At 42.0% G+C, this 27519-nt stretch overlaps 1 protein-coding gene and 1 pseudogene across 4 annotated transcripts in view, besides 8 other annotated features; both read right to left on the bottom strand.

Moving 5' to 3' along the window:
- Positions 1–27519, bottom strand: part of ANK2 (ankyrin 2) — a 678115-nt gene that overhangs the window by 620464 nt on the left and 30132 nt on the right. The window lies entirely within an intron of this gene.
- Positions 2826–3120: an enhancer, noted in NCBI's record as "tiled region #864; K562 Activating non-DNase unmatched - State 22:ReprW". NCBI's record gives its function as "activates a minimal TATA promoter and a strong SV40 promoter by Sharpr-MPRA in K562 cells {active_cell/tissue: K562}" and the evidence as "EXISTENCE:reporter gene assay evidence [ECO:0000049][PMID:27701403]".
- Positions 2826–3672: a biological region, named in NCBI's record as "Sharpr-MPRA regulatory region 864".
- Positions 2859–3672: an enhancer, noted in NCBI's record as "OCT4-NANOG-H3K27ac-H3K4me1 hESC enhancer chr4:113680757-113681570 (GRCh37/hg19 assembly coordinates)". NCBI's record gives its function as "activates a minimal SCP1, AML or CMV promoter by ChIP-STARR-seq in naive and primed H9 embryonic stem cells {active_cell/tissue: H9 hESC(naive and primed)}" and the evidence as "EXISTENCE:reporter gene assay evidence [ECO:0000049][PMID:30033119]".
- Positions 3673–4486: an enhancer, noted in NCBI's record as "OCT4-NANOG-H3K27ac-H3K4me1 hESC enhancer chr4:113679943-113680756 (GRCh37/hg19 assembly coordinates)". NCBI's record gives its function as "activates a minimal SCP1, AML or CMV promoter by ChIP-STARR-seq in naive and primed H9 embryonic stem cells {active_cell/tissue: H9 hESC(naive and primed)}" and the evidence as "EXISTENCE:reporter gene assay evidence [ECO:0000049][PMID:30033119]".
- Positions 5300–6113: an enhancer, noted in NCBI's record as "H3K27ac-H3K4me1 hESC enhancer chr4:113678316-113679129 (GRCh37/hg19 assembly coordinates)". NCBI's record gives its function as "activates a minimal SCP1, AML or CMV promoter by ChIP-STARR-seq in primed H9 embryonic stem cells {active_cell/tissue: H9 hESC(primed)}" and the evidence as "EXISTENCE:reporter gene assay evidence [ECO:0000049][PMID:30033119]".
- Positions 11942–12642: an enhancer, noted in NCBI's record as "H3K27ac-H3K4me1 hESC enhancer chr4:113671787-113672487 (GRCh37/hg19 assembly coordinates)". NCBI's record gives its function as "activates a minimal SCP1, AML or CMV promoter by ChIP-STARR-seq in naive H9 embryonic stem cells {active_cell/tissue: H9 hESC(naive)}" and the evidence as "EXISTENCE:reporter gene assay evidence [ECO:0000049][PMID:30033119]".
- Positions 23255–24196: an enhancer, noted in NCBI's record as "H3K27ac hESC enhancer chr4:113660233-113661174 (GRCh37/hg19 assembly coordinates)". NCBI's record gives its function as "activates a minimal SCP1, AML or CMV promoter by ChIP-STARR-seq in primed H9 embryonic stem cells {active_cell/tissue: H9 hESC(primed)}" and the evidence as "EXISTENCE:reporter gene assay evidence [ECO:0000049][PMID:30033119]".
- RPL32P13 (ribosomal protein L32 pseudogene 13) lies at positions 24118–24658 on the bottom strand (annotated as a pseudogene).
- Positions 24197–25138: an enhancer, noted in NCBI's record as "H3K27ac hESC enhancer chr4:113659291-113660232 (GRCh37/hg19 assembly coordinates)". NCBI's record gives its function as "activates a minimal SCP1, AML or CMV promoter by ChIP-STARR-seq in primed H9 embryonic stem cells {active_cell/tissue: H9 hESC(primed)}" and the evidence as "EXISTENCE:reporter gene assay evidence [ECO:0000049][PMID:30033119]".

Below are 27519 nucleotides of genomic sequence, written 5' to 3'. Positions count from 1 at the left end.
GGGCGACAGAGCGAGACTCCGTCTCAAATACAAAAAAAAAAAAAAATTAGCCAGGTGTGGTGGCTAATGCCTGTAGTCCCAGCTACTCAGGAGGCTGGGGTGAGTGAATCACCTGAGCCTGGGGGCGTCAAGGCTGTGGTGAGCCCACCGCGCCCAGCCCCCACTCTTATTTCTTAAATGATTATTCATCACATGTTCCAACAATGCTTCTAGGAGTTATTACTTTACACTGATCCAAATTAGCACTTTCTTCCCATCATTTACAATTTAATTTTCTCCCAGTGAAACGTTGAATTTAGAATTAAACTATATCATTTTCAAAACGTAAGGTTTTAACAGTAAATTATTGCCACTAGAGGGCACCAGAAGCTCAGAAGCATAAACATAAAAATAGTTTTCACGAACCACATTTAAGTATTAAAAACAAAATACAGTGCAAGTTATAGTGTCAAAAATATTTCGAAGCCGGGCGCAGTGGCTCACGCCCATAATCCCAGCACTTTGGGAGGCCAAGGCGGGTGGATCACCTGAGGTCAGGAGTTCCAGACCAGCCTGGCCAACGTGGTGAAACCCACTCTCTACCAAAAATACAAAAATTAGCCGGGCATGGTGGCGCAGGCCTGTAGTCCCAGCTATTCTGGAAGCTGAAGCACGAGAATCGCTTGAACCCGGGAGGCAGAGGTTGCAGTGAGCCGAAATCGCACCACTGCACTCCAGCCTACGTGACAGTGAGACTCTGTCTAAAATAACAACAACAACAACAAAATTAGAAAAGCATTCACATGCCTTTACTTTTTTTGATTAATATTTTAAACTGATTTTTAAACATTGTCACTAAATGTTTCAAACTCTTGAAAAAGTAAAAAAATCAATAGGATCATATTATAAAGCTTTGTTGCAATTTTAAAATAGAGGTTACTGATTCACCAAATTACCTTGCTTTATTAAGAGTAGACATTTGAACTTACTAATTTTTCCTTTATCTAACATGTTTCCTTGAATTTATTTATGTTCCAATGATTTATTTAATCCAATATTAAGAAAACATTTGTTTTAACTTGAGTAATCAATTGAAATTCAAATAAATAGCCCTTTGAGTTCTGAGCTTTCAATATGGCAAACCACCGATTGACTGGGGCATCTTAGACAAAGTCACATCTAAAATGTTGGAACTCTCTGCACCTTGGTAATTTACCTGAAATGTCTGTTCCCCATGCCCAGCAAATTCAAGACTCAACTCAGATGTTGGTATGGCTTTCTCTAGCACGACATCACCTGCAGAAAAGTTAATTATTCCTTCCTCTGTGCTTCTCTGTATTCCTACAACACTTGGTGTAGCCAATGCAGTTAGATGAAATCAATATTTCTTAAGAACGTACTATGTTATTCAGAACCTACCGGAGGCTCAGTTCCTTCTTTCAAGGAGTTTATAGGAGAATAGAGTGACATGAGGAAAAAAGGCAATTGCATGAAAAAATATGGTATTTTTCATGCAACAGTATGAGTATGGTAAGTGAAGAAGTATAGTAGAGGAAGATGACAAGCATTTTGTAGGCATTTATTATTGAAAGAAATATTTCCAAGCACTGTCTTTGCACTTAACTTCGAAGAGAACTTTATTTTTATTTTATTTTTATTTATTTATTTATTTTTGAGACGGAGTCTCACTGTGTTGCCCAGGCTGGAGTGCAGTGGCGTGATCTGGGCTCACTGCAACCTCCGCCTCCCTGGTTCAAGCGACTCTCCTGCCTCAGCTTCCTGAACAGCTGGGACTGCAGGCGCGTGCCACCACATCAAGCTAATTTTTTGTATTTTTAGTAGAGACGGGGTTTCACCGTGTTAGCCAGGATGGTCTCGATCTCCTAACCTCGTGATCCACCCGCCTCGGCCTCCCAAAGTGCTGGGATTACAGGCATGAGCCACGGTGCCAGGCGAGAACTTTATTTTTATTTATTGAGCACCAACTCAGAACACTGTTTAAGACACCATAGAAAGGCTTACAAAAGAAATAAATGGCACAGTTTCTAATTCAAGATATTTCAAGCATACTGGGTAAGTAAAATATGTATGCCCAAAATTTCAGGACATTATAAAAACAACATACATTCAAATGTAATTCATTTACTATAAAAATGCACGTGTTTACTTTATAAAGAAGGAACGCATGGCCGGGTGCGGTGGTTCATGCCTGTAATCTCAGCACTTTGGGAGGCCGAGGCGGGCGGATCATGTGGGCAGGAGTTCAAGACCAGCCTGGTCAACATGGTGAAACCCTGTCTCTACTAATAAAATACAAAAATTAGCTGGGCATGGTGGCGTACACCTGTAATTCCAGCTACTCGGGAGGCTGAAGCAGGAGAATTGCTTGAACCTGGGAGGTGGAGGTTGCAGTGAGCCGAGATCGCACCACTGGACTCCAGCCTGGGTGACAGAGCAAGACTCCATCTCAAAAAAAAAAAAAAAAGAAGAAGAAGAAATACATAATAAAACCACTTAACGGACTTTTGATTTAATATATCGAAAAATAAGAAATCCCATTAAGTCTCCAGGAAAGAGCCCACCTTTAAGAATATGGAATTTGGGGCGAGGGATAGCATTAGGAGATATACCTAATGCTAAATGACGAGTTAATGGGTGCAGCACACCAACATGGCACATGTATACATATGTAACAAACCTGCACGTTGTGCACATGTACCCTAAAACTTAAAGTATAATAATAATAAAATTAAAAAATAGAAAAAAAAAGAATACAATGAAGAAAAAAAAAAGAATATGGAATTTGAGGCTGGGCACGGGGGCTCACGCCTGTAATTCCAACACTTTGGGAGGCCAAGGCGGGCGGATCACAAGGTCAGGAGATCGAGACCATCCTCGCTAACACGGTGAAACCCTGTCTTTACTAAAAATACAAAAAAATTAGCCGGGCGTGGTAGCAGGCGCCTGTAGTCCCAGCTACTCTGGAGGCTGAGGCAGGAAAATGGCGGGAACCCGAGAGGCGGAGCTTGCAGTGAGCCGATATCGCGCCACTGAACTCCAGCCCGGACAACAGAGCGAGACTCCGTCTCAAAAAAAAAAAAAAAAGAATATGGAATTTGAAAAATATTTTTCTCCCAACTCTATACAGAATGGAACGTAACTGGGGTGGGCAGGTGGGTGGGGGTGAAACCAAACAGTCAACCATTGATTTATGGCCTTGAAAGTAGTAGTCAAGGAGCCTGGGGTAGGGGGTAACTATAATCTTGCCAAAGTTACTCAACCACATTAGATCTCAGTTTCTACATCTATAAAATGAGAAGCTCATATTAAGTGGTTTCTAAGGATCCTTCCAGCCCTACTATGCTGTGATTTTTACAGTGTCAGCTACTGAAATTAAGTGGTTGAATTTAAAAGACATTACAGCTATGGAATCAGTTGGAACTTGGTGATGAATTAATAGCAGATGATGAAGGAAAGAGAAAAATATATATATATGAACGTAGAAGCACTTTGAAAAGTACAAAGTCCTCTACAATGTATACAGCCATAATAATCATTATTAATCAAATATGTCCAAGTCTAGAGGACTGGAGAATGCTGGAATGATGCTACTGAAGCAAATCAAAATCAGAAAATGGGAGGGTAAAAGAGAAAATGGCTTGCTTTTCACATGCTGATTTACTCACCCCCCTACCTCTCAACACTATTGAGATGGAATTTACCACCAAGGAACAGAGCAAAGAGGATGCTTATTTTCATGCAACTTCTGTCTTTATTCTTATAGTCTGAAAACACTTCCTAGGAAGGTAAAGAAAATAGCTATTCAAATGTGGTAATTAGAAAGATTTGGGCCCAGCGTGGTAGCTCACGCTTGTAATCCCAGTGCTTTCAGAGGGTGAGGCAGGAGGATCGCTTGAAGCCAGGAGTTTGAGACCAGCCTGAGCAATGAAGCGACACCTTCTCTCTACAAAAAATAAAATAATTTTTTTTTATTTACAGGCACAGTGGTGTGTGCCTGTAGTCCCAGCTACTCAGGAGGCTGAGGCAGAAGAATCACTTGAGCCCAGGAGTTTGAAGCTGCAGTGACCTATGATCACGCCCCTGCACTCTAAACTGGGTGACAGAGCGAGACCCTGTCTCTTAAAAAAAAGCTATCTTGTAAAGACTGCTCTGATAGTAGACCTAATCCATAGTATTTTTTAAATGAAAATCAAAAATAGAAAAACTAGGGAGAAATAACATTTAATCAGAGAGTAAAATATATTTAGGTTTGCATTTCAAGTATAAAAAGGACCATAGGAAGATAGGTCACCTATAAAGGTCCTAAAAGGTTTCTGCACTAGATAACTATGTTGCTATGTGATTCGAAATTCTCCCTAGAATCACCATCATGGGCACAAGGTTCCTCATCCCCAAAGTGGCCACTGCACACATCCACAAGTTCACTAACTGGGGCAAGGAAAAAAAGAATTAGCCAGTATTCCTATTAGCAGAGTTTGATGGAAAGGGGCAAATCCGTGGCGTCGTTACTACAGTATTTGGCAAAGGGTTTTGAGAAGATTGATTAGAAAGCATTTTGTGCCAGGCGCAGTGGCTCACACCTGTAATCCCAACAGCTTGGGAGGCTGAGGTGGGCAGATCACGTGAGGTCAGAAGTTCAAGACCAGGCTGGCCAACACAGTGAAACCCCGTCTCTACTAAAAATACAAAAATTAGCCGGGCCTGGTGGCGCCTGCTCGCCTGTAATCCCAACTACTCAGGAGGCTGAGGCAGGAGAATCGCTTGAACCTGGGAGGCGGAGGTTGCAGTGAGCCGAAATTGAGCCGCTGCACTCCAGCCTGGGCGACAGAGTGAGACTCTATCTCAAAAAATAAATAAATAAAAATAGACAGCATTTCCTGATTGATAAGAGAATAGCTATGCTCATCTACTCCTGCTGAAAGATTATGCAGCGTATTATGAAGTACTTAATAAAAATTAAATGAATAAATTTTACAATTGACTATAAATCGGAAAAATAATTCCATTTTTCTAATTTAATGTTAGAATGTGTATGTGACTCAGAAAAATACACCTAAAAAAAAAATCCATCTTGGCCGGACGCGGTGGCTCATGCTTGTAATCCCAGCACTCGGAGGCCGAGGCGGGCGGATCACCTGAGGTCGGGACCTGAGTGACCAACATGGAAAAACCCTGGCTCTATTAAAAAAAAAAAATACAAAATTAGCCGGGTGTGATGGCACATGCCTGTAATCCCATCTACTGGGAAGGCTGAGGCAGGAGAATCGCTTGAACCCGAGAAGTGGAGGTTGCAGTGAGCCAGGACGGCGCCGTTGCAGTGGGCCAGGACGGCGCCATTGCACGCCAGCCTGAGAAACGAGCGAGACTCCGTCTCAAAAAAAAAAAAATCCATCTTTAGAAGGATTACAACCCAAAATTAAGAAGGCTTTTACATTTTTCTCCTTTACGTATAGCGCTTCTCAATCCACAGCCTTTCTTTATTCCTGTTTTATAATGATATGACTACAAACACAAAAGATTCACCCTAAAATCCAGCAAAGTGAAGAGAAGTATAAGATATTCATGAGTCAAAAGCTTCATGATTTCAATTTACAAGAACTCATAATCCATAAACCATGGATTACCTATTAAATAAATGATAAACTGTCCAAAAGTTAACTACTTTAATTCTCTATGCTTCTAATTCCTCATCTATAAAACAGGAGATTATATTAGCTCTCACCTCACAGGATTCTTATGAGATCAAATAAATTAATGTGTGTAAAATACCTGCAAATGTGCCTAGCACGTGGTGATTCATCAATGTAGACTTTTGTTAATACTGTTTGACAGTTACTGATGAGAAAAGTCACTGCTGTCAGCCGGACACAGTGGCTCACGCCTGTAATCCCAACACTTTGGGAGGCGGGTGGATCACCTGAGTTCAGGAGTTCGAGACCAGCCTGGCCAACATGGTGAAACCCCGTCTCTACTAAAAATACAAAAAAAGAAAATTAGCCGGGCTTGGTGGCGGGCGTCTGTAATCCCAGCTACTCGAGAGGCAGAGGCAGGAGACTCACTCAAACCCGGGAAGCGGAGGTTGCAGTGAGCCGAGATTGCGCCATTGCACTCCAGCCTGGGTGACAAGAGCAAAACTCCGTATCAAAAAAAAAAAAAAAAAGAAAAGAAAAGTCACTGCTGTCATTGAGAGAAATGATATAATTTGGGAATTACAGGGTGATGTAAGAACAATTTTTTTTAAGTGATGGCACTCATGAGTTCTAGGAAAATTTCCTAAGATCTAACTTTCCTTTTTCTTTTGAGATGGAGTCTCGTTCTGTCATCCAGGCTGGATTGCAATGCCGCAATCTCAACTCACTGCAACCTCTGCCTCCCGGGTTCAAGCGATTCTCTTGCCTCAGCCTCCTGAGTAGCTGGGATTACAGATGCCCACCACCATGTAGGGCTAATTTTTGTATTTTTAGTAGAGATGGGGTTGTACTATGTTGGCCAGGCTGGTCTCGAACTCCTGACCTCAGGGGATCCACCCGCCTTGGCCTCCCAAAGTGTTGGGATCACACGCATGAGCCACAAGATCTAATTTTTCAATATTTTTCCAGCCGAGCTCAAAAAATCTCTTACTCGAGTGTTCATAATCATAAAGCTTTCATAGTTCCTCAGCTTCCATCACAGATAACTCCCTATGTACATAACCAATTCTCCCAAGTAACATGTGGATTATTAATTTGCTTTAGCAAGTACTTGGATACCAGATAAACATTACTATTCTAGACATTGGAAAGACACAATCCCACCACTAATAAATTGATTGCCATTTTGGGTTATAAAGCAGTATCTTATAAATTATAGAGAATCTATTCTCCCAAAGCCTGATTAGTTAGTTCTACGTGAATTGATAACCAAATTATTTCCGAACCAACAATACTGAACTGGTGAAATCATAAACCCCAGCTAGATTTTGTATCCTATAATGCTCAACCTGAGAGAGCCAAGTGCTCTGGACAGCAGAGTGAGACTCTGTCTTTTTTTTTTTTTGAGACAGAGTCTCACTCTGTCACCCAGGCTGAAGTGCAGTGGTGTGATCTCGGCTCACTGCAAACTCCGCCTCCCGGGTTCACACCATTCTCCTGCCTCAGCTCCCCAGTAGCTGGGACTACAGGCACCCGCCACCACACCCGGCTAATTTTTTGTATTTTTAGTAGAGATGGGGTTTCACCGTGTTAGCCAGGACGGTCTCAATCTCCTGACCTCGTGATCTGCCCACCTCAGCCTCCCAAAGTGCTGGGATTACAGGTGTGAGCCACTGCGCCCGGCCAATGACTGTGTCTTAATAATAATAATAATAATAATAATAAGGGTAGTCCAAGTGCAGTGGTATTTATGACAAATTGATTATAACCAGTTACAGATTTCTTTGTTCCTTCTCCACTCCCACTGCTTCACTTGACTTGCTTAAGGAAAAAAAAAAAGAAAACATTTATATTATTATTGGCATGATACATGTCAGGCCTCTGAGCCCAAGCTAAGCCATCATATCCCCAGTGACCTGCACGTATACATCCAGATGGCCTGAAGCAACTGAAGATCCACAAAAGAAGTGAAAATAGCCTTAACTGATGACATTCCACCATTGTAATTTGTTTCTGCCCCACCCTGATAAATGTACTTTGTAATCTCCCCCACCCTTAAGAAGTTTCTTTATAATTCTCCCCACCCTTGAGAATGTACTTTGTGAGATCCACCCCTGCCCGCAAAACGTTACTCCAAACTCTACCGCCTATCCCAAAACCTGTAAGAACTAATGATAATCCCACCACCCTTTGCTGACTCCTTTTTCGGACTCAGCCTGCCTGCACCCAGGTGAAATAAACAGCCTTGTTGCTCACACAAAGCCTGTTTGGTGGTCTCTTCACATGGACATGTGAGACAATACAGAGCCAACTAACAATAGTTCCATGAAGCCCTTACCAGTTAACTAATTCATTGGAAAGGTCATAATTCAGTCTTTAAAAACGTGTGTGGCAGGACAGTGAAACAAGTTAAACAACACAAGGAAGCAATGAGACATATCCAGAATGTGAAACTTGACACAGGACAATCCAGTTTCTTTAATAAATTAATGATGGGGCCCAGGGGATTGGAGGGGGGCAGGATTGAGGTGCGGAAGCAGGGCAGGAAGTCATTCTTGCCACAAGGCATATACAGTGGTCCACTATCAGACTTTAAACCCTGGCAAGATAAATATTAGCTACTTCTAAGATGATATGCCTTCAAGTCTTCATCTGGGATTTTCCCAACTGGTAGATTATTAGGATATAAGAGTTTGAGGTAAAAAAAGTAAAAAAATCTTCATCTTTCTCCCTCCTCCAGTGTCTCTATTTCTAGGGGTGACCACCGTTACTAGGTTAGATGTGTTCTTCCAATATTTCATCTCCTCAAATCTCTACTCTTGTCTTTACATGAACCCCTCACTCTCCCTTCTACTGCCTCACTTTCTAGTAAGTTTTCTTGGGCAACTTTAGAGCAGGGATTATAAACTTAATATATACTGTGGCCTGGAGATGGGGGAACAGGGACCTTAAATTGAGTTTGCAGGTGGCAGCCACATGAGAGTGCTCTAGCCAATGGCTGCCTGAGGGAAAGCAGGCTCAGTGGGCCCTGTTTTTTGGAGATAAGCTAAAAATCTGTACTTTAATATGAAGACTTTTAGCCCCTGGAACTCATTAAAAGTTTTTAACATAATACACGCCCCCCCAAAAAAAAAAACTCATAACAATACAAACAACAAAAACAACGAGGACCCAACTCAGCTCACAAGCTAACAGTTTGCTACCTCTGCTTTTGATTTATAAGAAACTTCAGATCAACCATAGGATGTTAGAACTGGAAAGGATGTTAGAAATCATCCGGTGCAAATATTTTATTTTATGGCAAAAGGAAACCGGGGCCCAGAAAGGGGCTTTGGCTTCAGTGCAGGTGAACCAACGTTAACTAGGGACTAATTACTATGCCAGGCAGAGGACATGCCACAGTAATTGTCCTGTCCTCAAGCTGTTCACAGTCTAGTGGAAGAGAGAACCTGTGAACAACTGGAAAGCTGTTTTATATATCCCCATGCAATTTTATATATATATATATATATATATATATATATATATATACTTTTTTTTTTTTTGAGACAGAGTCTCACTCTGTGGCCCAGGCTGGAGTGCAGTGGCGTAATCTCGGCTCACTGCAACCTCTGCCTCCCGGGTTCAAGTGATTATCGTGCCTCAGCCTCCCAAGTAGCTGGGATTACAGGCATGTGCCACCACGCCTGGCTAATTTTTGTATTTGTAGTAGAGACAGGGTTTCACCATGTTGGCCAGGCTGGTCTCAAACTCCTGACCTCAAGTGATCCACCCTCCTTGGCCTCCCAAAGTGCTGGGATTACAGGGATGAGCCACAATGCCCAGCCAGTTATTTCCTGATTATATGCTAAACAAGGGGTGAGTTATTCATGCCTCCCCTTTTAGACAACATAGGGTAACTTCCTGACATTGCCATGGCATTTGTAAACTGTCATGGTCCTGGTGGGAGTGTAGCAGTGAGGGTAACCAGAGGTCACTCTCATGGCCATCTTGGTTTTGGTGGGTTTTGGCTGGCTTCTTCACTACAACCTGCTTTATCAGCACGGTCTTTATGACCCGTATCTTGTGCCAATATCCTATTTCACCCTGTGACTAGGAATGCCTTAACCTTCTGGGAATGCAGCCCAGCAGGTCTCAGCTTCATTTTATGCAGCGCCTGTTCAAGATGGAGTTGCTCTGGTTCAAATGCCTCTGACAATACCATGTAGCCTGGGTGTGTAGTAGGCTCTAACATCTAGGTTTGTGTAGGTACACTCTATGGTGTCTGCACAATTATGAAATTGCTAATGATGCATTTCTCAGAATGTATTCCTATTGTTAAGTGACACATGGCTGTATATGTATCCAGCTATCTAGTCCGCTCAACTGTAATATCTATGGGTTTGGAGATTTCTCCAAAACTCTTTCTACCACTTGCCTGCACATTTATTCCATATCAGCAGATGAAGCAAGACTCATTCTTCGAGTCCGGGAGAAGCACCTTGGTGAGGCTTTGGGAGGCACCAATGTGCTCTCTGAAGGAAATGGCCTGAGGCTCGAGGAAAATAATATGGGATGGAGACCTGGGAAGAGGGAGAGACCAGACTTATTGTCAGGTTCCTGAACAGCATATTCGTGAAATGAAGGGCAGTGGTCATAGAGACAGCATAGCCAGGAGGTGTTGCTTAGAAGAGTGGGAGGCCAGCGCAAAGGTTCACACTTGTAGTCCCAGCACTTTGGGAGCCTGAGGTGGGAGGATCACCTGAGCCCAGGAGTTCAAGACCAGCCTGGGCAGCATGATGAAATCTCTTCTCTACAAAAAATACAAAAATTAGCCAGGTATCGTGGCGCATGCCTGTAGTCTTAGCTACTCAGGAGGCTGAGACAGGAGGATCATTTGAACCTACAAGTTGGAGGCTGCAGCGATTTCCACTGCACTGCAGCTGGGGCAACTGAGAGAGACTCTCAAACAAACAAAGAGGTGGGGAGAGAAGAGCAAGGTGCAGTGGTTCAGGCCTGTGATCCCAGCACTTTAGGAGACAGAAGTGGGAAGACTGCTTGAGCCCAGCCTGGGCAACATCAACAGATCCCTGTCTCAAAAAAAGTTAAAAAAAAAAAAAATTAGCCAGGCCTGGTGGCATGTGTCTGTAGACACAGTTACTAAATCAAGGCTGCAGTGAGCCAGGATTCTGCTGTTGCACTCCAGCCAGTGAGACAGAGAGAGACCCTGTCTCTAAAAGACAAAAAACAAAAGCTGAGGAGGGGGAGAAAAAGGACTGAACTAGAAAGCAGAGGCACTTGCTGCTTAACATTTAATGCCCCAGAGTTGCTCTCTTGCCTCCTCCTCAGCCCCAGCCCAGCGACTGGGTGAGTGGAGTGCTTGCCCTGCACAGGCATCTACTCACATCTCTCAAGGAGGGTTTATGGAGTTGAAGCAAATGGTAAAGAGCAGAGAGTGATGTTAGTAATCCAGTGAGGACAAGAAACACAGAGTGAGCCTCCTAACACAGTGTCCAGTGGAGAATATGGACTCCCTGCTCCCTTGAATTTCTCATAAAAAACCTCTAATTTCTAGGAGTGGGGATCAGGTTGTGCCATGTGTATAAGAACCACTGGCTTCAGTGGTCATTTACCCTTGGTTAATAAGTCCTGGGAATGCTAGCAAAAACACCAGAGCATGCTCCAAGCTATTTTCTCCCTATTCTTTGTACTGATAGTAAAATCAGTAAAATCAACTCACTAACATTTCACAGGCTACACTAAAAGGGTTTCCCAGCTGTGCTGCAACATCCCTTGTTGGGACTCCAGCACATCCTCCACATCCCCTATAAGAAATGGTCCAAAATTTTCCCCCACTTCTTAAGTCCTTAACACCTCCTTTGGGATTCTTTATGCAGCTGGATCTCACTTCCTACCTTAGAGATAAGATCTCTGCCATCTGGTGGGAACTCCCTCTACACCTTAGCATATCTCTGGGTGCATTCCTGTTCCTACATTTTTGTTAAAGCTGTTTCCTTATGCTTCCCCCTTCCCCCTCCAATTCCATCCCTTCCCCCCTGCTACTTAATCCTTCTCATCCTTTAGGGCCTAATCCAATCCACAGCTCCTCCACACAGTTTTCCCTGACATTTCCTGCCCACAATGATATCTTCTTTCTTTGAACTTAGTGAAGTCTGTTATGAAAAGTTCTAGAATCACCAAACGGGCAGTGCCTTAAGTCGCCTTTTAGTCTAACCTCATGGATTTACATATTTGCCTAGTCCTTTAGCTAGTTAATGGCTGAGCCAGGACTGGACTGCAGCTTTCTGATTTCCAGTGCTGTTAACTGTGCTACTATATTTTAAAAATTCAGGGCCGAGTGTTTCTTCTCTTTCACGGGTCGCTTGCTGCTGGTATATGGCATTGTAAATGCTAGCAGTTTTCCTTCACATTGCAAGCCTGGTCACCTTTTACACTGCCACATTTCCTTGGAGGGGGAGGTTGGGGTTGGTTTTGGGGACTGGAGACAATACCATGTAGCATAAGAATTTAGGGATAGAGAAGCAGGAAAACTGGGTTATGATGATGCATTAAATAGCTACCAGAGAGGTGGCTGCTTCCTTCTTTGTTCCGTTTCTGTACCTTGTTAAATCTTCTAGGCCGAGCATGGTGGCACACGCCTGTAATCCTAGCACTTTGAAAGGCAGAGGCAGGTGGATCACCTGAGGTCAGGAGTTCGAGGCCAGCCTGACCGACATAGTGAGACCCATCTTTACTAAAAATACAAAAATTAGCTGGGCATGGTGGCCCGTGCCTGTGATCCCAGCTACTCGGGAAGCTGAGGCAGGAGAACTGCTTGAACCCAGGTGGTGGAGGTTGCAGTGAGCCAAGACTGCACCACTGCACTCCAGCCTGGATGACAGAGTAAGACTGTGTCTCAAAAAAAAAAAGAAAAAAGGAAAGAAATAACCATAAAAATAGGCAACCCAGCAGCCCTTGGGGCTGCTCTGCCTATAGAGTAGCCATTCCCTTATTCCTTTACTTTCTTAATAAACTTGCTTTCACGTTACTCAAGGGACTCGCCTCTCATTCTTTCTTGCACAAGATACAAGAACCCTCTCTTGGGTCTGGATCAGGACCCCTTTCCCATAACAGTATAGTCTATTGCTCCTAGGCTACAAACTGTACAGCATGTTACTATATATATATATACTGAATATTGTAGGCAAGTGTAACACAATGGTAAGTATTTGTGTATCTAAACATATTTAAACATAGAAAAGGTATGTAAAAATACAATATTACAATCTTTTTTTCTTTTTTTGAGACAGGCTCTCACTCTGTCGCCCAGGCTGGAGTGCAGCGGGGCGATCTTGGCTCACTGCAACCTCCACCTCCCAGATTCAAGCGATTCTCGTGAATATGGGGTTTCCTCATGTTGCCCAGGCTGGTCTCAAATTCCTGAGCTCAGGCAACCTGCCAATCTCAGCCTCCCAAAGTGCTGGGATTACGGTTGTGAGCCACTGCACCCAGCCAGTGAGCTGTGATTGCACCAATGCATGCCAGCCTGACAGCAGAGACCCTGTCTCAGAAGAAAAAAAAGTATGAAAGAAAATGTGTTAGAAGTTACCTACAGCTAGATGCCAGGAGCGGTGGCTCACGCCTGTAATCCCAGCACTTTGGGAGGCCAAGGAGGGCGGATCACGGGGTCAGGAGATCGAGACCAGCCTGGCCAACACGGTGAAACCCCATCTCTACTAAAAATACAAAAATTAGCTGGGCGTGGTGGTGGGCGCCTGTAATCTCAGCTACTCGGGAGCCTGAGGCAGGAGAGTGGCTTGAACCTGGGAGGCGGAGGTTGCAGTGAGCCAAGATCGCGCCACTGCACTCCAGCCTGGTGACAGAGCAAGACTCTGTCTCAAAACAAAACAGAACAAAAAGTTACCTACAGCTAGATAATCCCAAAATTTAGCAACTGTTATGTTCTATGATAAATCTCAGTGTCTAAAATTTGCTTCATTATTATCTATCACTTTCCACAAACATCATGGTACAATCCTAGGAAACACTGCTGTGACTGTTCTCAATCCAGTAACTATTCAGTAGGAGACCATCTCTCTCATAAGCCCTCCAGGGTTGGTGACTGCTGACTCTGAAAAAGTCTGGAGTAAAGAGCTCATGAGTTTCCATACATTTTCTGAATATAACTTTCCTCCCAAAATTCCAAAGTTGGGTCCATAAACAAGTGATTGCCATTAATATCTATGGATCTATTTTTATGCCTGAGTACAAAGTCATTCAAAACATTTTTTCCCACCAGAGACTTGAAACCCCTACATGCACGTTACTCTTGAGACTCAGGCTTTTCCTCCCATACTTTACCAATGATATCACTGGTAACATTACAAATGGTGATAACTGCTCAATGTACAGGTAGCATAGAAGGATGCATGCTTGATCAAAGATGACTTAAAATCATAGGTCAGGCCAGGCGCGGTGGCTCACGCCTGTAATCCCAGCACTGTGGGAGGCCGAGGCGGGTGGATCACCTGAGGTCAGCAGTTCGAGACTAGCCTGGCTAACATGGCCAAACCCTGTCTCTACTAATAATAAAAAAATCAGATGGGCGTGGTGGCACACGCCTGTAATCCCAGCTACTCAGGAGGCCGAGGCCCGAGAATGGCTTGAACCCGGAAGGCAGAGGTTGCAGTTAGCTGAGATTGCGCCATTGCACTCCAGCCTGGGTGACAAGAGCGAAACTCCATCTACAAAATAAATAAATAAATAAATAAAATCATAGGTCCGTCCACTGACTTTATTTTAAAGGACAATCTCTACCTCCAGCTGCTGTTTACTAAGTTGAATATCTGCAATTCTTGTTTCCAATAATTCAAAGCATTTTAAAAGCATGGGTGTGTTTCAAAATGTCCTCCAATCAAGTGGTTTTCAATTGCCTTGCCTCAGGGGACCATAAAATATGTATTTGAGTATCTTGGATTCATCCATCCTCAGACCACATCCAGCACAAAATTACACTGTGAGGAACTTTAGGCCCAACAGCTGCAGGAGTTAGAGGAAGGGAAATAAGGTCAAACAGGAATGTGCTGTCTGTGCATAAAATTAGCATAGCCTTATAGGTTAACATAAGATAAACATAAAGCATGCTAGAAAAAAATCAGGTAAAGGTGAAAATAATATGTCATTAAGCTATGCCTCTCCAGGAATTAAGGACACCAGGTCACTCACATTCCTAAAAGAAATATGTTCCATTAGGCTTGTTATGAGGATGTTCTCTACATTTCCATAGCAGGCTCAAGTCTAACAAGACTGAATTACATCTACCACTGCTTGAGGACCCTGAATTTGATTTTTCATTTGTGCCATATTTACTCTATAAAACCCACAATAACCACTTTAATTTGCTGTATAACCATTATTACATGGTAAGCATGTTTGTCTGTATAGGCACATTTGGTGGTGTTCAGTTCCAGATTTTAAAACTTTGTTTTTTGCCTAAGGTAGCTCCTTGAAAGAAGAGCTCTTCGTGTTCTACATCATACAATATTAATCACCACATTTTCCTGATGCACTGCAGATATTGAATCACTTGGAGGATGCCTTACAAAAAATGTATGAAAACAGCTTTTACTACATCTCAATAGCTAATGTAGAACACATTATAATCTAGGATGATAGCCAAATCCTTTTATCAATGGAAAAAATTAGTAAATATACATCTGATGACATTTCAAGGAACTCTCTAGAATAGAAAACTATAAACCCATTTTGCTAGGACTATTTTGATAACCCCAGCAGTTATCACATATTCAGAAATCCTTACCAACTTCTCACTTTTATCTCACAATATTTCTCCTTTCCAACCCTAGGAGACTGGAGGGTTAAAGTCTGGTATTTAATGTCTTCTGTTACTCCTGTCCTGTCACCCTTTCCCACCTTCTTTTAATTCTCAATATTCTTGATGTTCCAGAAAGTAAAACCAGAAATTAGAGAACCACCATTAAAATAAATCAGATCAGAACCAATTTACTTAATTCTCAGAACTTAATATTTAACTTTCAATTTGAAAAATGAATCCACTCTTAAATGTAGTGCTTTCACATAAAACTTTTCTCTTCCTTTTTCTTTCACAAGCTCAAGAGTTCCTAGGAGAACTCCACCCCCTACTCCCAACAAAAAGGTATTCAGCTAACCAATTATGCACATAAACCACCAATTTTCACATGTAAATATTCTTGTACATTATCATTTTACACATTTGAATGTGATTTTTACATTTAAAGTCCCGTGACAAGGCTTTGGAGATCTCAGCCTGTGGGCTATGGACAGATTAAGATTTCTTTTCTAATGATCATTTCCTTTTGGTGCTAATGTGTTTGTTCCTTATTAGTGCCACTCACTGGCCTGGACTTAAGCCAGATTAAAATAAATTCCTTTGATTTGCCTGGTTTCAAAGACACAAAAGAATTTCCCACTTTGAAAATCCCCACAGAGTTTTGGCTAAAGAATGTGTCACCTCAGGATGTTGATACTCTTCATTATGACTTATGCTGTTAGGAATTCCTCAACCTTAAGAGATAAGGTTGGTGTTGCTCCCTTCTTTTTTAGAAAACTGCAAAGGTAATGTCATCTGCTGTGAGTCTGATACCATTGTTAACTGTGCTTAATTCCTGAAATAATATAATAGAAATTGAAATTTGTTTTAGGGATTTCGTAAATGCGTGACCACAGTTATACAGCCTTAGTTCTACTGCTTAAAATTGGATATTTGAATATATTTGAAGTATTTGCAGAAAAATCACAAAAGCATGTCTTTTTTATCATTGAATATGTCAAGGAATAATTTTAATAAGCTTCATCCAGCTTTCCTATTATGCATGATTAAAATGTAAGTTAATACATAATTCAAAACTATTTTGAAGTTATTAAAATGAAGACATTCCTTTAGATTAATGTGTTAACTGTTTGTTTCTATTTTACAAATCTGCAGATGAAACCAAATTTTATTTAACACTAAAACATGTGATAAGCTAAGGAGCACATCATCTGTATCACTTCAAGAAAATAATGACAGCTTCCTTTATCCAGAAAATTATGCATGTTAGGAGGAGGTCTGTATTCAAAAAGGCATTTTCTTTTTCTCTTTTTTTTTTTTTTTTGAGACAGCATCTCACTCGGTTGCCCAAGCTGGAGTGCAGTAGTGCAATCTCAGCTCACTGCAACCTCCACCTCCCGTGTTCAAGCGATTCTCCTGCCTGAGCCTCCTGAGTACCTGGGTTAGGGATTTTCTAACCCCCAAGATAACTCTACCACCACAATCCAAACAACATTTGAACTTTTTTTTGTTTGTATCATATGTAAGCACTAAGAAAGCAGTTTTAATAGAAATTAAACATATATAGTGTTCTCTTTAAATATATTTAGAAAATTACTCAAGATTAATATAATTTTTCAATTGTTTTAGTTCTTGTACATTTTGATGATCAATAAAAGCTGGCCATACTTGCTAATTTAATTGTCATCCTAAATATATGTAATCCTGTCTAAGAACTTCCAAAATCTCTTTAAGAGTCACTATAGAATTGAAAATATAGTGGATTCCTTTAAAGGGCTGATAGAAGGGGATGGTAGGTGAGTGAGAGGACAGGATTATTGAAAAAAAACAACAATAACAACAACAAGAATGATTTAAAACAACTGAATTCATGGAAATAGAATGAAAAATGGTTATCAGAGACCAGGAAGGGCAGCCAGTGGGGAAGGGGGAGAGATGTGGGGATGGTTAATGGATACAAACATATATTTAGATAGAATGAATAAGATCTAGTAATTGGGGCCGGGCGCAGTGGCTCACACCTGTAATCCCAACACTTTGGGAGGCCAGGGCAGGTGGATCACCGGAGGTCAGGAGTTCGAGACCAGCCTGACCAAGATGGAGAAACCCCATCTCTACTAAAAATCAAAAATTAGCCAGGCATGGTGGTGGGTGCCTATAGTCCCAGCTACTTGGGAGGCTGAGGCAGGAGAATCACTTGAACCTAGGAGGTGGAGGTTGCAGTGAGCCGAGGTCGTGCCATTGCACTCCAGCCTGGGCAACAGGAGCGAAACTCTGTCTCAAAAAAAAAAAAAAAAAAAGATCTAGTACTTGATAGCACAACAGGGTGACTACAGACAACAATAAATTATTGTACATTTAAAAATAACTAAAAGAGCATAATTGGATTGTTTGTAACATAAAAGAAGGATAAATGCTGGAGGTGATGGATACCCCATTTACCTTGATGTGATTATTACGCATTGCATGCCTATATCAAAGTATCTCATATACTCCATAAATATATACACCTACTATGTGCCCACAAAAATTAAAAAGTAAGAAAATAAAAATAGATTTAAAAAAGAATGATAGTTTTTATGTCGGAATTTATGTTTGATGTGTTTATGTGATGTGTTTGTGTTGTGACCTATATAATAGGTGAATGTATGTAATACTTTTCTTTTAGAATTAGTCAAGGAAGAAGTAACCAATGAAGGAAGAAAAAGGCTGATAAATTGACTGTCTGCTTACAAATAATAAAGAAAACATATGATAAATGAATTCAAAGGATTACAGTCCAACTGAGAAAAAACTACTTGATCACATATGACATATAGAGAAAAAGGGCTTACAAATCAATAGAGCAAAACACCAATAGAAAATGACAAAGACTGTCAACAGACATTCACAAATAAGGAAATATAAATGGTTAATAAACTTACAAAAATATGTTTAACCTGATGACAGATGAAGACATACATGTTAATCCACTGAAATGCTTTTTGACGATTATATTGGGAAAGACAAAAATGAGAGAAAAAGCTTAATGTTGGCAAGTATTTGCTAAAGCAGGTACTCTCATATTCTGTAAGTGGGAATACAAATTTGTGCCAAAACTGTAGAGGATAATTTGACAACATATACTAAAATTCAAGATGCTCTAGTATGATCCAGAAATTCTACTTTTAAAATCTTATCCTGGCCAGGCGTGGTGGCTCATGCCTGTAATCCCAGCACTTTGAGAGGCTGAGGTGGGTGGATCACCTGAGGTTAGGAGTTTGAGACCAGCCTGGCCAACATCGTAAAACCCCATCTTTACTAAAAATGCAAAAAATTAGCCTGGTGTGGTGTGGCATGCCCCAGTAATCCCAGCTACTCGGGAGGCTGAGGTGGGAGAATTGCTTGAACCCGGGAGGCGGGGGCTACAGTGAGCCGAGGTCGTGCCACTGCACTCCAACCTGGGCAACAGAGCAAGACCCCATCTCAAAAAAAAAAAAAAATCATATCCTAAGGAAATATTATAGGTAACGTGAAAAACTGGAAACAATGGAAATCTCCCAGAGTAGAATTATTCATAAAGTCTAATATTCTGTATCCATTAAGTTTATCTATGTGAGCTATTTTATCTGAGATGTTCAATCAGAAACAAAAGCTACAGAATAATATACCTCTATTAGGTTGGTGCAAAAGTAATCACAGTTTTTGCCATTGAAAGTAATAGCCAAAATGTCCGGGCCTGGTGGCTCATGCCTGTAATCTCATCACTTTGGGAGGCCGAGGTGGGCAGAATTCGAGACCAGCCTGGCCAACATGGCGAAACCCCATCTCTACTAAAAAAACAAATACAAAAAAAATTAGCCAGGCATGGTGGCACATGCCTGTAATCTCAGCTACTCGGGAGGCTGAGGCAGGAGAATTGGATGAACCCGGCAGGCAGAGGTTGTAGTGAGCTGGATCCGCCACTGCAGTACAGCCTGGGTGGAGAAAAAAAAAGAAAATAAAAGAGGCCAGGCATGGTGGCTCACGCCTGTAATCCCAGCACTTTGGGAGGCCAAGGCAGTCAGATCACCTGAGGTCAGGAGTTCGAGACCAGCCTGGTTAATATGGTGAAACCCCGTTTCTACTAAAAATACAAAAAAATTAGCTGGGTGTGGTGGCGCACACCTGTAATCCCAGCTACTTGGGAGGCTGAGGCAGGAGAATTGCTTGAACCTGGGAGGCAGAGGTTGCAGTGAGCCGAGATCGTGCCAGGGCAGTAAAAGTGAAACTCTGTCTCAAAAAAAAAAAAAAAAAAAGGATAGAAAAGAGAGAGAGAGACAGAAAGAAAGAAAGGAAGGAAGGAAGGAAGGAATGAAGGAGAGAGAAAGAGAGAAAGACCGAGATTACTTTTGCACCAACCTAATTACATGTGTTAGTTTAAGCAATATAATATAAGGAAGTTATCTTTAGAGGAGAGAACTATAAAAGACATCATAGTCTTTTATAATGGTCTCGAATTTTAACATTCTTTTAATGTGAAAAACCAATATTGTAGAACTGAAAGAAAATATGTAAATAATAATTAAAAGAATGAACAAGGCAAGTTATTCAGGATTCTACCATAATGAAATTATCAGGTATCAGCCAAAGTAAACTGCCCGCACTTTCATGTTTCTGTCCCCAAAAAGGAAAGGCTATATAAAACACCATTAAAATGGTCAGCCTGTAGAAGAAGCTATTTCACTAATAACTCTGTCATTGACTACACACTGTATTGAGCTAATATAGGAAAAGATTTTCTTTTACAGTCTGAAGAAGATTAAAATTCCATATTCTTCATGCCAAGTATCAGAGTCAACATTTGGGCCTTGGCCTGACTTGGTAGTCCTGACGGATCTCAGAAGATGTGGAATGAGAGGCCAGTCGAGACCAGCCTGACCAACATGGTGAAACCCCCATCTCTACTAAAAATACAAAAATTAGCTGGGCATGGTGGCGGGTGCCTGTAATCCCAGCTACTCAGGAGGCTGAGGCAGGAGAATTGCTTGAACCCGGGAGGCAGAGGTTGCAGTGAGCCGAGATCATGCCACTGTACTCCAGCCTTGGCAACAGAGCAAGACTCTGTCTCAAAAAAAAAAAAAGAAGATGTGGAATGAGGACTGAAATCCCCTAAAACCTGTTTATAAATGATTATAATGGAATTTTGGATTATCTGGCATTTCATTTTAGGGGACTTTTCTTCAGTTTTAGTTTTACTTTCTTTTAAAAAGAAGCAAAAGTAAATCTGATTATTCCTCTATTTGCAAATCTATTATGGATAACCATTGTCTAAAATATAATGCTCAAACTCCTCCTTATCAAGGCAAACAAGGCCCTTCTGACAACCTACCCTAGCCAATCTTATCTAGGGTGTGTCTCCACTCACCCAACTCCATAGCCGTCCTAATACACACACACACACACACACACACACATAGAATTCAGTGAAAAGTTTGAAGACACTGTGCCAACACGGTGAATTTCACCTCTGTGAAGCCTTCCCCAAGTCTGTGTAGCAGTTATCATATTTTATTTTTATTTTATTTTAGTATTTTATTTTGTTCTGAGACAGAGTCTCGCTCTGTCGCCCAGGCTGGAGTGCAGTAGTGAACTGCTTGACCTCCTGAGCTCAAGAGATCCTCCTGCCTCAGCCTCCCAAGTAGCTGGGACTTAAGGTACATGCCACCCTGCCCAGCTAATTTTTTTTTAAAATTTGGCTGCAAACGTTGCCCAGACTGGTTTGAACTCCTGGTCTCAAGCAGTCCTCCCACTTCAGTCTCCCAAAGCACTGGGATTACATGTGCAAGCCACCACTCCCAGCCCTGTTTTATTTAAGTACTCTTCTCTAAACAGTAACCTGTTCAAATAAAGGGGCCAAGTACTCAACATCTGGTAACTGAAACAGTACTATATTATAATTGTTTATATCAATAAATCAGAAGAATGCTTTGATAAGGGTTTTGAACCCAATGCCAATTTTATTGTGCTTGTTTGTTTGTTTGTTTGTTTGTTTTTAAGAAACGGCGTATCACTATGTTGCCCAGGCTGGTCTTTATCTCCTGAGCCCAAGCAATCTTCCCACTTCAGCCACCCCAGTAGCTATTACAAGCATGAGCCACCACACCTTACCCTGAACCCAAAGCCAATTTTAAAGATTTACAAACCAGTCATTTCAAATGAAGAATAATGAAATCCAAGTGGAAAGAAAAACAAACAAAAAGTTTTAGTTATACCCAAAACAAAATTGACGAGCAATGCTTACACTAGGCGTCTGTATGGACAGAGGCATAAAAGCACTGACTATGATGATGACAGACGGACTGCTCTGCCACCCTATCGCTAAAGAGGGCCCACCGATCCTGACCACATTGCCCAGGTCCAGCCCTAAGAAGCAGCATGGACAGAGCAGGCTTTGCTTTGTCAGGATGGCTATGCAACGAAAAGGGAGCTCTCTGAAGAGGGCCAACTGAAGGGATGCTTGGGCTTGCTGGAAAGAAGCCTATTGGTTAGAGAAAAGCCTAGTGGAAATAGTCAGCTCAGTGAATCAAAGGGAGTTGACCTAATCTCTTTCTCCTGAGAATTTCTGCCTGGGAGAAGAAGGCAAAACTGGATCTCTGCATATAGAAGCACATGATAAACAGTTTTTGCTAGAAAAACTATGGTTGTAATATGTGATAATATCCATTAAGAGAATAATACTTTTGCCAGGCATGGTGGCTCCTACCAGTAATCCCAGCACTTTGGGAGGCTAAAGCAGGTGGATCACTTTAGGCAAGGAGTTAGAGACCAGCCTGGCCAACATAGTGAGATCTCTGTTCCTAAAAAAAAAAAAAAAATTTTTTTGAGACAGAGTTCACCCTGTCACCCAGGCTGGAGTGCAGTGATGCAATCTCGGCTCACTGCAACCTCTGCCTCCCGGGTTCAAGTGATTCTTCTGCCTTAGCCTCCTGAGTAGCAGGGACTATGGGTGCCCACGACCACGCCCGGCTCATTTAGTATTTTTTAGTAGAGATGGGGTTTCACCGTGTTGGCCAGCCTGGTCTCGAACTTTTGGCCTCTCAAACTGCTGGGATTACGGACGTAAGCCACTGTGCCTGGCATCTACAATAATTTTTTTTTTCTTCTTTTTTGAGATGGAGTCTTGCTCTGTTGCCCAGGCTGACGTGAAATGCCAAGATCTCGGCTCACTGGGTTCCAACTCCTGGGTTCAAGCAATTCTCCTGCCTCAGCCTCCTGAGTAGCTGGGATTACAGGCGTGTGCCACCACACCCAGCTACTTTTTTGTATTTTTAGTAGAGACAGGGTTTCACCATGTTGGCCAGGCTGGTCTTGAACTCCTGACCTCATGATTCACCCACCTCGGCCTCCCAAAGTGCTGAGATTACAGGTGTGAGCCATCGCACCCAGCCGCCCCAAATTTTTTTAAGTTAGCCAGGCATGGTGGCATGCACCTGTAGTCCCAGGTACTCTGGAGGCTGAAGTAGGAGGATTGCTTGAGCCCAGGAGTTCGAGGTTACAATGAGCTATGATGACACCACTGCTACAGCTTGGGAGACAGAGCAAGACCTTGTCTCTAAAAAAGTAAAAATAAAAATAAATAAATAATGCTAATAAAAAAGAGAATAATACTTTTCACTCTTTGATAATGGTCATTTTCCTCTGCTTTTCCTCTTTTTTTTTTCCTCATCAGAACAGAACTTTAACTAAAATACTGATAGCTAACCACATTTAGAAAGACCAGGTTGATGTGGAGAATTTGGAAATGGAAATAGGTTAGAAGAACCCGCCTGCAACAAAGATTTTTAACTTTATTACTATTTTATTTATTTATTTATTGAGACGGGGTTCTGCTCTGTTGCCCAGGCTAGAGTTCAGTGGTGTGATCACAGTTCACTGCAGTCTTGACCTCCCAGGCTCAAGAGATCCTATGACCTCAGCCTCCAAGTAGCTGGGACTACAGACTGGCTAATTTTTGTATTTTTAATAGAGATGGGTTTTCGCCATGTTGCCTAGCCTGGTCTTGGTCTTTAAATATTTATTTCTTTTAGTATTAAAAGTTAGCTCTACACTGACAAAGCTAAGAGCACAACACAGTTTTATCAGAGAGTGATAGGAGGGGAGCAAGGAGGAAATTGCTTCTCCCTCCCCCATCTAAGGGAACATCAGGAAATGGGTAATTCAGCATAACATGTGTGGGCAGAGATCTCTTTTTGTTTCCCAGACGGAGTCTTGCTCTGTCACCCAGGCTGCAGTGTAGTAGTGCAATCTCAGCTCACTGCAACCTCCGCCTCCCCGGTTCAAGTGAAACTCCTGCCTCAGTCTCCCAAGTAGCTGGGATTACAGGTGCGAGCCACCACGCCGGGCTAATTTTTGTATTTTTAGTAGAGACGAGGTTTCACCATGTTGGCCAGGCTGGTCTTGACTCCTGACCTCATGATCCACCTGCCTCAGCCTCCCAAAGTGCTGAGATTACTTACAGGCATGAGCCACAGAGCCTGGCCTAGAAATATCTTTTAAAAGCATTCATTCCAGCCGGGCGCAGTGGCGTGCTTCTAAGTGCATCAAACCATTAAATATCCAGACAAATCAGACTTTTTTGCCTATTTTAACTCTGCTTCTCTCCTTACAATGGACTCTTCTAGAATGTAGGAGTTTTTTTGTTTGTTTTTGTGTTCTTGGCAGTTTTTACGGTTTTATTTAAACACAAAACGTGCATATGAGCTATCTATTCATTTTCTTTGCTGCACAGCCTGGCATTGGGGTTGGTGACTCTGATGGCCAGCTGGACAGAACTTTCCATGATGGCTTTGCGGTTCTTGGTTTTTGTGAGCGACCTCAGCACAGTAAGATTTGTTGCACATCAGCAGCACTTCCAGCTCCTTGATGTTCTGGACCAGGAACTTGCGGAAGCCACTAGCAGCATGTGCTTTGTTTTTTGTTTTTTTGTTTGTTTGTTTGTTTGTTTGTTGTTGTTGCTCCCATAACCAATGTTGGGCATCAAGATCTGGGCCTTGAACCTTCTATGAACCCTGTTGTCAATACCTCTGGGTTTCCACCAGTTACGCTTCATTTTGACATATGGGTCTGACTGGTGCCGGATGAACTTCTTGGTTCTCTTTTTAATGATCTTGGGCTTCACAACGGGTCTGAGGGCAGCCGTGATGCTGAGGAGGAGATGGCTGCCACCTCGGTAGGCAGCCCAGAGGAAGAGCTAGAATGTAGTTTTTAACTCACAATTCAGAACTCTCCTGAACCTGCAGACTAGGTTAAGGTTCCTGCTAGCTACCTGCAGCATACAGCCCTTACTACTCTCACAGCACCTGTTAAGTAAGGAACTACTGAAATCACTTGCTTAATTACCTGATGTATACTCCACCTGGGCAAGGATCTTGCATGTCTTTTTTTTTTTTTTTTTTTTTGAGACAGACTCTCACTCTTGTTGCCCAGGCTGGAGTACAGTGGCACAATCTTGGCTCACTGCAACCTCTGCCTCCCTGGTTCAAGCGATTCTCTGGCCTCAGTCTCCTGAGTAGCTTGGATTGCAGGTGCCCACCACCACACCTGGCTAATTTTTGTACTTTTTAAATAGAGACGGGGCTTCGCCATGTTGGCTAGGCTGGTCTCGAACTCCTGACCTCAGGTGATCTGCCCGCCTCGGCCTCCCAAAGTGCTGGGATTACAGGTGTTAGCCACTGCACCCGGCCTCATGTCTTATTCAATTGTGTATCCACAGTGCCTACTATAAACCTGGGCACAGGACAGATCCTCAGTACATAATTGTGGAATTAGTAAATGAGTATTCTCTTATACATCAAGGTTGCTAAATATTTATGTTAGATGAATGGTATGGTAGTTTGTTCTATCGATGTACCCCGATGAACCAAATCTCCTGCTATTTACATCCTTTACTGCCATCTCTTCTTGAATCTGACACATTTTAACCAATAGAATACAGCTAAAGTTGTCCTGTGCCAGTTCCAGGCCTAAGTCTTAAGAAACCTTGAGCTTCCTCCTTTTGTACAAATGGAAGAAAATCCTAACATACATAGTCCAACTCCTTCGACTACCAAGCCAGGAAGAAGCCCAAGTCATCTATATGGTGAGGCCACATGTAAGAGAACTAAGAACCCAGCTGGCAGCAAGAACTGAGGAACTCAGCTGAGCAAGAACTGAACCACTTCTCCCATCAAACTCCACCAACTAGCACCAATGTACCAGTCATGTGAATAGGCCACCTTGGAAGTGGATCATCCAACCCCAGTCAAGCTGCTCCAGCTGATGCCATGTGGAGCAAACTGCCAAGTCCTGCACAAATCTCAGAATCGGGAGCAAATAAATGATAGCTACTGTTTTAAAGCCCTGAACATTGGAATGGTTGTTATGCAGCAACTGATAATTGAGATAGAGGATAGGTGGATATTTACATTTCACAAAAATAAAATACAAACCATGTGCTCTATGTGCATGTATATGCAAAGATTTGCTGCAATGAAAGGCAGCAGATTTACAGAGAGAACTTACATATTTCCTGGACATACAATAGTCTAATATGTTATTAAATCAAGCATTATAGAGTGTTAGCATTTTTCTTTTAGTTATGAAAAATAACTAATGTTTGTGAATATGAACTATTTACTATGTGCACAGCACTTTGTATGCATAAATTCTCACCATAGCAATATGCTAAACATATTATCCCCAATTTATAGACAATGAAACTGATAGTTAGAGAGGAAGTAACCAGGCCAAAGTCACACACTGAGCAAGATTCAGAGCCCAAATTTGAACTCAAACCATGCAACTTCAGAGCCCAAGGTCTTAAAAACACTAGAGGGACTTTCTGAAAAAAAGCCACCACTACCACCACCACTACTTACCACTACCAAAACCAGTCATGAGAACAATGTAATTGTGCTCCTTCAAGGGAGAATTACTGTCACTATTTCTCTTTCTCTCCATTTCCATTCTTTTTCTCTCCAGCTTCAGCTGAGCTCCTCCAAGACTAGTGGTCTAGTGATGCCATCAGCAATCTCACTACATGACAGCCCCCCAACCAGTGTTTAGGAGAAAAATGACACAGTCACGAATGTTACCTCTAAAAAGGATTTGCAGAATGAGCATTAACCTTACCACACATGCAGCACCTACTGAAATAGTGTGATTGCAAGGAAATTCCTCTCTAACAAAAAATCTCTTCCCTGAGTGGCAGATGTCTGAAATCTGCCATTGTGAAGGGGAATGAAAAATGATCTGCCACATGCTTCTGTATACCTGATTCTCTGGACTCAATTTCCTCATCTGTAATATTGGAGAACTGATTTGTTAAATTCTCTAAAACTTTATGGTTCTATTTTTTTTTTTTTTTTTGAGACGGAGTCTTGCTCTGTTGTCCAGGCTGGAGTGCGGTGGAGCAATCTCAGCTCACAGCAACCTCTACCTCCCAGGTTCAAGCAATTCTCCTGCCTCAGCCTCCCAAGTAGCTGCGACTATATAGGCGCAGGCTGCCACGTCTGGCTAATTTTTTGTATATTAGTAGAGATGGGGTTTCACCGTGTTGCCCAGGCTGGTCTCAAACTCCTGAGCTCAGGCAATCTGCCCGTCTAGGCCTCCCAAACTGCTGGGATTACAGGCATGAGCCACCGCGCCCAGCCCTGGTTCTGTTTTTTAATTTAAATTTAAGATAAATTTAGCAGCTATTAGGTTATTAAGTTAGGCAAGGGATTATAAAAATATAGTGATTTAATTGAAAGGCACTTGTCACAGATGGGTTTTATTTCTATTCTGAAACCTAAAAGAAAGAATAGGATTCTGGGAACATAGACTATGTAAATTATAGTCTACCTAAGTAGACTACAAATATAACAGGCTATATAAAATAAACCAATCACAAAAAGACAAATACTGAATGATTCCACTTATATGAGTCACCTATGTAGAAAAATTCATAGAAATATAAAGAACAGTAGTTACCATGGGCTGGGATGAGGAGGAAATGGAGAGCTGTTCAGTGAGTACACAGTTTCAGTTTTGTAAGATGAAAAATTTCTAGAAATTAGTTGCAGAACAATGTGATTAAAC

The sequence above is a fragment of the Homo sapiens genome, chromosome 4 (assembly GCF_000001405.40).
Source record: "Homo sapiens chromosome 4, GRCh38.p14 Primary Assembly".
In the NCBI taxonomy this organism is placed as follows: domain Eukaryota; kingdom Metazoa; phylum Chordata; class Mammalia; order Primates; family Hominidae; genus Homo; species Homo sapiens.
Note: the sequence above shows the minus strand (reverse complement) of the source record. Positions and strands in the feature narration are given on the sequence as shown.